The sequence below is a fragment of the Homo sapiens genome, chromosome 18 (genome assembly GCF_000001405.40).
Source record: "Homo sapiens chromosome 18, GRCh38.p14 Primary Assembly".
Taxonomy (NCBI): domain Eukaryota; kingdom Metazoa; phylum Chordata; class Mammalia; order Primates; family Hominidae; genus Homo; species Homo sapiens.
The window spans coordinates 65,943,198-65,956,345 of NC_000018.10; positions in this window are offsets into that span (position 1 = coordinate 65,943,198).

Consider the following 13,148-nt stretch of genomic DNA (forward strand, 5'->3'; position numbering starts at 1 on the left):
AGATTAAGATTAGTTATAGGGAAGAATATTCTTGAGAATTTAGGATGATTGAACAGGAGATATCCTCTTCCTTATTTTAACATTGTTGAATGTTCCATTTCCCTTCGTTGTCACACACTATTTTCTTCAAGCCTTCAGATGGGATCCTCTGTGTGGTGAATTTTGTGGTGGGCCACCAAAAGACCCCTGCAGGAATGGAGAATTGATTTCCCCATCTGCTGGGCATGCTGCAGGAAGATGACCTTTGCTCACATTGACTTTGGGTTGCTTCAGCTAAAGAAAATTGCCTAAAAGAAAATTGCCTAACTCAGAATAAAGGTTTTCCAGGGTCAGGCCATATCCAATAACTGGTCACCCAGAAGGTGAGACCCGCTCACCACCATTCTGAAGAACTCTTAAGAGCTGTCCAGCTTGGAGCCCTCCGTAGGTGAGCTGAATCTTTCTTTGTGACTGCATTACAGTTTGCCTTCCCCCTCAGTCCAATCCTGCTTTCATCCTCTCCCCTGCACATGAAGGTTTGAACTCCAAGCCCACCCCCACATAAACATCTTGAATGCTCAAAATCTCCACTCAGAATCAGCTGAACAAGAAACTCAGCCTACTCTACTCAGCCCACGTGCTGCAGCACAGACATAACCCTTTAGAGCTATTGGCTTTTGACTTTTTAAGTAAACTTTTTAATAAAGAAATACTTATACAAGTGAACAAATTGTAATGATGCAGCTCAATGACTTCTCATGAAGCTCACACTCAATTATAACAATACTCGGAAGAGGAAACGGAACATTAATGGATCCCCAGGAACGCTTTCTGGGGCCTCCTCCTCTCTAAAGAAGTGGCTATTATGACTTCTACATAATAAATCATTCTGTTTTTGAACTTGATATAAGTAGAATCTTACAATTTGTGCGCTATTTATTATGTGGCTTCTTTCACTCTGCATTAGGCTCATGAGATCCATCTATGTTGTTATACATAGTTTAGTTCTTTCAAGGCAATACAATATTCAATTACGTGAATATGTCATACATTATTCATCAGCTTCTGGACATTTTTTCCCCTCAATTTTGGCTACTATGGATAGTGCTGCAAATAATATAATTGTAAATGTCTTTTGGTGAACATATGTATGCATTTCTTTTGAATATCCTTGTATCCTAAGAGAATTGCTAGATCATAAGACATGCATATTTTCAGCTCTGTGGATGGCACCAGTTTTCCAAAGCGGTTAAGCCAATTTATGTTTTTACTAGTAGTATTTGAGAGACCTGGTGGTTTTTACTTGCTTGCAAACAGTTGAAATGTTTTACTTTTGTTTTTTTTAAGCCTTTCCAGTGGATGTGTGGTACTATTGCATTATAATTTTAATGTGCATTGTACCAACAGCCATGAAGCTGAACATATTTTAATACACTAATTGGATTTTAGATATCTTATTTCCTGAAAAATCTATGCAGAATTTTTATTTATTATTTTAAAATTATGTGACTGTCCTTTTCTGATTAATTTTTAAGAGACATATATTCTCCACTTAAGTCATTGTTGAATGTGTCTAAAATATCTTTTCCCACTTTGTGGCTTACATTTGTATCAGTGGTAACTGTCGATGAGTAGAGTTTTTAACTTTAATGTAATCCAATTTTGTTTTTCCTACTATGGTTGGTATTTTTTGTGTTCTACTTAAGAAAATTTTGCCATGAGATATGAAGAACATAAAGATTTTCTCCTATATTTCCTTCTAAAGCCTTTATTATTATTTGTCTTTAATATATAAATCAACACTCTATGTAGAATTATTTATCTTGCATAAAATTGAGTCAGTATTCATTTGTCACTGATGTTATACATTATGTGCCTGTATAGGAGTGGGTTTGTTTCCAGACTTTGTGTTCTATTTTAATGGTCTCTTTACATAGTCTTGTCCCATAGCCACAGTGTTGTAGTTACCACAGCTTTACAATAAGCCTTGATATATTGCAGACTACACCATCATCTAGTTTTGTTTTTCTTCAAGATCTCTCAAATGTTTTTGAATCTTTGTATTTTCATTTTTTAAAATTCAGCTTTTCAGATTCCACAAAAAAATTGATGGAATTTTGATTAGGATGGATTGAATCCTTAGATTAACTTAGGAAGAACTAACCTCTTTATAATATTGAATTTTCCAATCCACAAATGAATGAGTTTTTTCTTGTATTTAGATTTTAAGAATTTATTTAAATACAATTGCAGTATTTTCAGATTTAGTCTTTGGTATATAAGGCCTTTTGATGCCATTCCAAATGACATCACTTTTAAAATTTGATTTCCTGCTCCTTTGTTTCTGGTAAACATGTGTCTTTTGTTGTTGTTTGAGATAGGGTCTCACTCTGTCACCCAGGCTGAAGTGCAGTGGCGTGATTACAGCTCACTGCGCCCTCAACCTTCTGAGCTCAAGCAATCTTCCAACTCCAGCCTTCAGAGTAGCTGGGACCACAGATGCGAGACACCATGCCCAGATAATTTTTAAATTTTTTGTAGCTATGGGATCTCCCTATGTTGTCTGGTCTGGCCTCCAATTCTTAGACTCAAGCTATCTTCCTATCTTGGCTTCCAAAAGTGAAGGGATTACAGGCATGCACTGCCACGCCTGGCCTATTTTTATTATTTTTTTTATCTTTATTTTCTATTGTATCCAACTTCTTGAGAGACTCCCTTATTAATTCTAATTTTTTACATTGTCTTTTTTTTTACACCAGATTTATTGAGGTGTAGTTCACAATTAAAATTTATATATATTGGGCTGAGCACAGTGGCTCATGCCTGTAATCCCAGTACTTTGGGAGGCCACGGTGGAAGGATCGCTTGAGCCACGGTGGAAGGATCGCTTGAGCCCAGGAGTTCGAGACCAGCCCTGACAACATAGGGAGAGACCCCATCTCTATAAAAAAAGAAAATGAAAAATAAATGAAAAAAGTTATATATATCTACAGTGTACAATGTGACATTTGCATACACATTGAAATGATTACTGTAATCAAGTGAATTAACACATCCATCAGCTAACAGTTTTTTTTATGGTAAGATCACTTCATACTGACATTGTTTTAATTCACACATATCATTTTAGATTTGAAAAAAATACTAGTTTATACTTTTATCTTTGAGGGAGGGACACTTTGGGTCAACGTAATGTATTGCTCTGGCTTCCATTGGTGAATATATAAGTACTGCTGGTGTTTAACATGCTTATATTGTGAATACTCATAAAGTCCACGGTGGATTCTGATCAGGAAAACAAACGTGTAGAGAAATGATAGTCTGACACCTGAATTATTCCTCAGTCAGGTTCCCCATCCCCTTAGGGTGGTCCAAAAGCAACAATAGAGCATTCCAGGAAGAAAGAAGGAAATCACTGCCTTAAGTAGTTAAAGTTTACCGAATTTGTAAGAGATGCAACATTTCAAATAAATAGCTCAGTAAAAGTGAAAAATGCTAATGTAACTGGGTGCTTACAGGCCATGATTAGCAACTGAATTTAGTTGTTATTCTTATTGTCCCACCTCTTCTGGACATTGTGACTGCAACTGAGTTCACTGCATAAAATAGTGGCATTTGGTATCCTGTCTTTGGCATTGACACTGCCTTCTTTGCTCTCACACTGCCACCTAAGAACCAAGAAAAATTGACAATTATTTGGCAAAGCCTCCAATACAAGTTTGTACTACTCTCTCAGAAAGGTCTTACTGGTTGGCAAGAGAGAAGTCTCTGTCTCAGTAGCCCGGACTGTGATGTAATCATATCACCACCAGCCAAGGTGACCTAAAAACCTGACATATTCAGAGTTCAGAATTCAGAAGCATGCTTGCTATGCAAAGTTTTCTGAGAAAATGTGAGCGGATTTGCAACATTGTAGCTCTCTAGTCAAGGAAAAAATGCTGTCACTTTGCTTTCCCTGTCTGTAGAACCTCCTGGATATGTGTATTGATATCTTTCGTAAGTTTAAAAATATTTGGCCATTAAATGCTGCAGTATTCTTTCTGTTCATAACTTTTCTCTTTGATTCTAAATACATGTCAGATCTTTTTACTGACTCCTACATGCCTTTGAGGTTTTTCACTATTTTTATTTATTTTCTTGCCTCAGTTCAGGTATTTTTTTATGGACCTGTCTTCTATTATGTTTATTCTGATGTTAACACTACCCACTGGTTTCTTAATTTTATTTATTAAATTTTCCTATTTCTTAAATTTATGTTGTTATAAAATGTAGAACATAATTGACGTTTTAAATCAGTTACTAGAATCACTTTTCTGATAACAATCTTATTGTTTTCATCTACTGATTTAATATAAAATCTATTTGATTAAGCATAACAATCTTATAATATTTAAATGTCCTTTACTGGATGTTATTTTGAAGTTCACTGCAATATTTGAATTACCTATGATTTTTCTGGTGTGTGGTTTCTCTCTTGTTTCTCAGTTATTATTGAAACAGGAAATAGTCCCCTTTTCTTAGTCTTCTTTATTGTTGTGACTACTAAGAGAATTAAGTGCCAGACCAACAGGTGAAATACTGTAGAATTTGCACATGATGTTATCTTCCTTTAGAGAGTTTTCCTTTTTTTGTTTGACTTCTTTCTTAAAAACTTTTTAAATTAATAAATCAATTAATATATATTTTTAAAATCCTTCCTATTTTTCTCAATTGTTTGACTTCTTTTGCCAGAGAGATACAGTGTTGTCTGATCACTTTAATGCAATCAGATGGAGGTCAGTGATTTTGGTAAGGCTTGGTTCTATTTCCTCCTGGCCACAGACATCCTCTTGCAAGACATTCAACTCAGAGCTTGTGAGTTCATCAGGAACCTGATCTTAGAATTTTTGTTCTAATATTTGTCTCATCATCTCAGGAGACTGCTTTGAATTGTACTTTTCATAGATATGTTGCTTAGTATTTCCGTCTTCTGCCATGCTTGGTTTCAGAATTCAGCAAATACTTTGCAACGAAAAATGATTCTACCTCTGAGACAAGTCAAATTTCAATTCTTTGTCTCTCCAAACTTTCAAGATCACACAAAGCAGCACTGGTTCCACTGCCCCTTGGTCACAGCAGTCTGTTTTTGCAAAACTCAAGTGGCGAATCTCTTGCCCTGTGCCAAGATACATCATTTTCCCTAGGGAAAAAGTCACTTCATCTCACATCTCTGGGTTGCTTTCCTCTTCAGAAAACCACTATCTTGATTTTCTCTCTTTCACAAGCTTCAATTTTAATAGTCTTTTTTTTTTTCTTAATGTTCTTGTTAGAGTGTTGGTCTGCCACCATTCAGTGCACCATACGTAGTTATGAGTCCTGCTTTGCCAAATATTGATCAGTGTGTGTGTGTGTGTGTGTGTGTGTGTGTGTGTTACACTAGGGCTGGATACTGGCATAGTAATTTCTAATACATTTCATTTTGATCTCGGTGCGTCGTTCAGTGTGGGATGGAGCAGGTGCAGCTTGTTGTTTGCCAGAGCTCCAAAATTGAAGTAAAACATGAAGCCCTTTATAAAACAAAAAGAAAAATTACATCTGCTTATTCCAATGATCGTATGAGAATGTTGGCCCAGGAACATTTAAAAGTGTGGGGTCAGGGCATTAGACAGTTTTGCTCAAAGACACAGCTCTGAAGGTAAGTAAATTGCAGAGTATCAAATGCTGCATTTTATAGTCCCTTTGAGAGGTTGTTATCCTGTAGTCATGATTGCATTGTAGTTGTTGCTGACTCGCTAGTTTTGAGTCTTTTAATTTATACAATGCTGGACAAATTCTTATATCTAAAAAGCTGTGTGCTGAAACAAAAATGGGTTGCCTCTATTTTGTTTTTATGAAATTATATCAACATTGTAGAAATGTGGAGTTGAAAGATATAATGCAGGTCATGAGCTGTATACCCTTTTGCGATGAAACTCAGGCAGATAATATGAATTTACCAAATATCATATGCCATTTAGTGGTAATCAGTGCTACAACCAAGTTTTCTGATTCCTGGTCCAATATCTTCGCTTTATTTAATCAAGATTCCCTCCAAATAGTATTGCTATATGCATCCTCACTATTGTTAATCTACATGTGCCTATTTTTTCCCTTTTGGTTTAAATAGTAACCCTGATAGTTTAATAGTATTCAGTATTCAGTCTGCCTCCTTCATGTTGCTTCCTGTTCACTCACTCTTTTTTAAAAAAAATGTTGTTTAAAAGTGGCTTAAAAAGCTGAGAACTTAATGATTAAGATAGGTGATGGGAATTGCTATAAAATACTATTTCAAGAAGAAAATTTTATCTTTTCATAGGCTTTATGGGTAAATGTGGAGGGAAAAATGCGGTACCAAAAAACTGAAACTGTAGATCTGTTTATAATCCCTGCTCTAAGAGGTAGCAGCCAGTTATGCATAGGTGGTACTTAAATAGATCCTCCTTAGTCTATTCCTTCTCCAAGCCTTGAATCATAGGCACACACATTTACAATATATCTGTTGAGATTCTCATCAGTTACAATGTATTAAAGGTGCCACTATTTCATGAGAAAATAAAATAAAGCTAAGTATAAGATTTCCATGAAAGTAATATAACACTGCATTTGACAAAATTCCTTTTTGTGAGCTTACAAATTGCCACAATATCATACTCCAAATCTGCATGACAAAACTGTCTTATGGATTAAGGCAAACTACTTTTGTTATATAAATGATATCTTACTACCTTGTGCTGCATTTTATTGTGTCACGTTATTTACAATAAGACTCATGAAGAAAGAAAACTGAAATCAGAAAAACAAAATGACAAAACCTGAATCATCAGCCAGATGAATGAAGTTAGGGTGGGCTATTAGAATGAAGTTAGGGTGGGCTTAAAAAAAATCAAGCTGAAAAAAGTGTCATTTTAGTGAATCTTGAACTCTGCTGTGGTTCTATGCTTTTCCACAGTAAACCACTCACTCTAAAGTTAATGACTTCTGAAATACTGATGAATAAATATGGGAATGAGAAACATTTTTTTCAAATTTTATGTATAGATAGGTAGATAGAGATTGTACAAAATGCATTAAAGACACTTACAAATATCAAGTCATCTCTTTCTTTGGTGTTACAATAGGATATATTTTATTACATTACCTTCATAAGAAACAGATGGAGTGCCATAATGTAAAAGCTGGGATTACAATGATAAATATTTTTTTCTGTTGATATTCTTTGGTTTTTTTTTCATAATTCTACAAATACATTAATCATCTATCACTTTAGGTAAATAACATTCTTGTAGCCCTGTTAAATCTTCATGATTTCTATTTTCCATTGCAATCTGTTTTGGATTATTTTTGTTAATGTTTGCTTATGCTTAATTGCTGAACCACATATGTATAAGGCTAAGAGTAATAATATCCAAACTATCTCTCTAAAAAACACAACATATTGTGCTCAAATGATATATATCATAGATTTTCCTATTATGAGAACAGGATTTTTAACTTCATAATATCATAAAAGTTATGTAAAATATACTTTTTTCAATATTTTTCACCAGATTACTTCTTATATCATATGGTGGTTTTTATTATCAATAAATAAATTAATAATATCTGATGGACTTTATTGTTACATAAATGTTATGCTTACGCTAGATTCTGGTAGGCTGAATCCGTCATGCAAAGTAGAGTGAGTCATAACTACACAAATGCTTGCACGCACACACACACACACACACAACCCCTAGTATAATGCAAAAAGTATGTTCTCTGGATTCAGACAAAGTCTTAATAACCATTTTAACAATTTCCATAACCACTTTAACAGTTTCCACAACCATTTTAACACTTTCCTTTACCATAGACTCCAATGATTGCTGTTTTCCCTTCTACTTGGTATTATGCTTCTAATTGCCACTGAGGTCTGGATAATCTAGTAGCGGGGCTATGTAAATATAAAGGGATTATATATTTTTTACAGAATACCAAGCACATTAATAACTTCACCTAAAGTCTCATAATAGAATACATTGATATTAACTTAAGCATAAGATAATTAATTATCTGTAAATCTGGTCTGAGTTAGAGATGCAGCTAACATTCCTGAGTCACTATTTCCAACCAGCACAATACTAAGGTCATTGCGTTGATAATTACAGCAACTCTTTCTGTAACAGGTAAGTGTTATTACTTCTACTTTAAAGATAGAAACTGAAGAATGTTAAGAAATTTACCAAATTCACACTTTCAAAAAAGTGGTTGAAACACTTACTAACACTTTGAATCCAAAGCACATGTTCTTCCCATAACACTATGCTGATCAATATTTGAACAATGATCCAAATCTTCACAGGAAGATAATTCTAGGCTACAGCACTTTACATTCTTTAAACTGTTCACATGCTGTAGATAGATACTCTTGCTTTTTGTAAGAGAGAGAGAAAAAAGCTCATATTTACTGAACACCAACATGTTTGATAGGTAATTACCTATGATGTCTAAACTACCTATAATGTCTAAATTATCTATGATATACCTATAATATGCATAGAAAGAGGTGTTATACTAAAAGTAAATGTTGAATTTATGAATACTCATGCTTCATATAATTGGCAGTAATGATTTTATTTGCATGTCTTCACTTAACACTTATTTATTTAATTCTTGACCTGGACCTAGTGAAGAGGGTTAAAAAGAGTAAGAAAATATCCTTAAGGAATCACCATACTGTCTTCCACAATGGTTGAACTAATTTACATTCTTGCCAACAGTGTAAAAGTGTTCCTATTTCTTCATAGCCTTGCCAGCATCTATTGTTTCTTGACTTTTTAATAATCGCCATTCTGACTGACGTGAGATGGTGTGGTTTTGATTTACATTTCTCTACTGATCAGTGATTTTGAGCTTTTTTTTCCATACGTTTTTTGGCCACGTAAATGTCTTCCATCTAGAACCAGAAATACCATTTGACCCTCAAATCCCATTACTGAGTATATACCCAAAGGAATATAAATTATTCTACTATAAAGATGCATGCACATGTATGTTTATTGCAGCACTATTTACAATAGTAAAGTCATGGAACCAACACAAATGCCCATCAAGGATAGACCACACAAAGAAAATGTGTTACATATACACCATGGAATATTATGCAGACATAAAAAGGAATGAGATAATGGCCTTTGCAGGGACATGGATGAAGCTGGAAGCCATCATCTTCAGCAAACTAAAGCAGGACCAGAAAATCAAACACTGCATGTTCTTACTCATAAGTGGGAGTTGAACAATGAGAACACCTGGACGCAGGGAAGGGAACATCACACACCAGGGCCTGTTGGGGGATGAGAGGTGAGGGAAGGGAACTTAGAGGTTGGGTCAATAGGTGCAGCAAACCACCATGGCACACGTGTACCAACGTAACAAACCTGTATGTTCTGCACATGTATCCCGGAACTTAAAGTAAAAAAAAAAAAAAAAAAAAAGTAAGAAAATATGCTTGATCCTAAGCAGCTATAGTTTGGTAGGGAAATATATTTATAAACAAATAATCACTACAAAATGGTCCCTTTTCTCTTTCTTATGATTTAAATTTTTTTCTTCTCATATGCTCTTCATAATTAAGAAAAATTGATGAAATTTTAAGAGAATAAATTATTTTCAACTCTCATACAACCTGAGCAGTCTATCTACATAAGAGTCATGGAGAAAATGACCTTTTTAATCATGTATATTATTTGATGTATTGCTTTTCTCAAAAAAGTCTGCTGTCAATTGAATCCTTGCAATGTTGTCCAGATTTTTTATTTTTTATTTTTATTTTTTATTTTATTTATTTATTTATTTGTTTGTTTATTTATTTTTAACTTAGGAGGTACTCTGAAAACAAATTCTAGTATCGTTTGGTTGGTTTTTTAATAAAAGAAAAATCTATCAATTTGGGTATGGCCCCTTTTGCCAACGCCATGCTTCACGTAGGGAGCCTGACATGCAGAAAACTCTCCAAGCTATTGATTGGATAAAGAGCCAGAGCTGACTGAATTCCATTCTTCTTGAGCCTCTCATTCTGTGTTTCTCGAATTTTTACCAAAGCATCTTGACACACAAATATCTGACTCAAGGAAAAGGAAAAACAACTGCTTTTTCTCCAGCTGCTTTTATATAAATTGGCTCTTAAACTTTCTAAGTTTATTATGGATATGAAATATCGATCAAACAAAGCAGCAACATTGAATGATGTCACATGGTCGTTTGTGTCTGTCACCCATGTATGTCTCTAGTTCCTGAGTTGAGAGTTGGTATTTGACTTTTTTTTTTTTTTTTTTTTTTGAGACGGAGTCTCTCTCTGTCAATAAGCTGGAGTGCAGTGGCGCGATCTCGGCTCAGGGCAGCCTCTGCCTCCTGGGTTCAAGCGATACTCCTGCCTCAGCCCCCCGAGTAGCTGGGACAACAGGTGCCCGCCACCACGTCCTCCTAATTTTTGTATTTTTGGTAGTGACGGGGTTTTGCCACGTTGGCCAGGATTGTCTTAATCTCCTGACCTCATGATCTGCCCGCCTTGGCCTTCCAAAGTGCTGGGATTACAGGCCTGAGCCACCGCGCCTGGACCGTATTTTACTTCTAGGTTCGTTGGTTGTGGATAGATTTATCTGAGCCTTTGTTGGCATCTACCAGAAAGCAGATGGTTGCAAGATTTATCCTAACAAGTGCCCACCTCCTTGGCTGTACCACCCAGGATGTTATGATGGTTGAGGTAAGCTTTATACAGCATAAAAGAAGAGGAAAAGATTTTTAAACAAGAGATTTTGAGGTTACCAAAACTCGATTTAGATTAAGAAGCAATAAGTTGTCAACGTTCCAGAGAAAAGCTAATTTAAGTATTTTCCAGAAGGTAGAAAAAGGAATAAAGTAAAAAATTAAAGACAGTTTTTATGTCTTCTTTGGAGACTAACCTACATTTTCTAACAACTCTAGCAAATGCAATCTTTAAAGACGCTCTTTAGACAATCTCCTGAAAACCTACCTATAACAACCTGGATGAATTTCTATAGAAAATGAAAACAGAATGTGATCAAATATTAAATTTATTGTCAATTGTATTGGAACGATGAGCAAAATAGCAATTAATTGATTGCATGATGGTGTAGAGCAGCGGTCCCCAAACTTTTTTGCACCAGGAACCGGTTTCGTAGAAGACAGTTTTTCCATGGACGGGCTGGTGCTGGGGGATAGTTTTGAGATCAAACAGTTCCATCTCAAATCAATTATCAGGTATTAGATTATCACAAGGAGCAAACAACTAGATCCCTCACATGAGCAGTTCACAATAGGGTTCACACGCCTATAACAATCTATTGCCACCGCTGATCTGACAGGAGGTGGAGCTCAGGCGGTAATGCAAGTGATGGGGAGCGACTGTAAATACAGATAAAACTTCACTTACTAGATGCTCACCTCCCGCCGTGTGGCCCAGTTCCTAACAGGCCACAGATCAGTACTGGTCCTCAGCCTGGGGCTGGGGACCCCTGATGTAGAGCATTTCTCCATATTTTTTTCTTTACAAGAGCTTAACTTAAAACAAACAAACAAAAATCCTCAAACACTTGGCACAGAAAAATTTCTTTCTTCTTCTAGGATACTTTCTGCTCATTTCATCTGCTTGGTTTGGTTGATTGATATTTCTCATCATGGAATAAAGCTGATATCATAAAGGAACAAATAATTATGAAGTTTACATGAAATCAACAAATATTTATTTAGCATTAACTACATATGGAGAACTAGATATAGAAAGCATCAATTGGCCGGGTGTGGTGGCTCACACCTGTAATCTCGGCACCTTGTGAGGCTGAGGAGGGTGGATCACCTGAGGTCAGGAGTTCGAGACCAGGATGGCCAACATGGTGAAACCCTGTCTGTACTAAAAAATACAAAAATTAGCCAGGCGTGGTGGTGGGTGCCTGTAATCCCAGTTACTCGGGAGGCTGAGGCAGGAGAATTGCTTGGCGAGGGGTTGCAGTGAGCCAAGACGGCACCACTGTACTCCAGCCTGGGCGACAGAGCAAGATTCTGTCTCAAAAAAAAAAAAAAAAAAAAAAAAAAGAAAGAAAAGAAAAGAAAAAGGAAAGTGTCAATCTTTTAGTTCTCTGAGAACTTGAGGAAACTGCATATTCCTACGTTTTTATGCTCTTTTTACTGAGGCAAGAAAAATGAAAATCAGGAGGCTATTTTTAAATTAAATAATTTGGCACCTTGTCCCAGCAGTCATGATTAAAGGTGGCTCCCCAGACATTTAGATGTTACATGATAAGTAATTTAGTGTAAAACTTAATTAATTCTTTATTTTAGCCTGGGCGTTAATATTTTCCCAGGAAATAATTCCACATGGTCATTCCAAATCGGGAATATTTCCTTCTCCAACAACATAAACAAAACTTTTAGCACCAGTTTACTACTTTATAATACAGATTCTCTGAATTAATCTATACATTTGAGTTTTAGGTGAATTTTAATTTCACCCTTTAAGCTTTTGTTTCCACTAAAAAAATGTTTATATTAGATCAATCTGTAGCTCAGGGAAGGCGGCTTATGGCAGTAGCACCAGAAGTACCACGCACTAAGGGGAAGTGATTTACCATACCCATGAATGCATTTCCTAGCATACTGTGTGCGGGTTGACTTTTATTGGGTAATTATGTTGAATCTTCTCCTAAACCTTTTGTTCCCTGGGCAGCACCATCTTTTGCATAAAACATCATCAGTATGCCTTTCTCATACATCATCCCTGTGACAGCTTCAATGGTGTACTGAAGCAACAGCTCATCAGAGCAGCAGTGCACTGTGATGATTTATTATAGTAACATATCGTCAGAGGGAGGCAGCAGAATAATATATGGCCAGAAGCATTCAGGAGTGTTATGCAGGAGCATATTTAGTTGTGCAAGAGGATTCAAGGAAACCTGAAAACCTCACATTAGCAGATCCGTGTCCCTAATATGTGGAGATGTTTGTGGGTGAAGGCTTTTCATTCACTCTACAGGTAACTGGACACCTGACTGCAGTTTTTTGCCCAAATACTGTGAGTAAGTTTTTTATAGAACCTCTACAAATTCAGTTCAAATTTTGTTTGTATAAGAAAATTTGCAGTTATCAAAAATGGCATT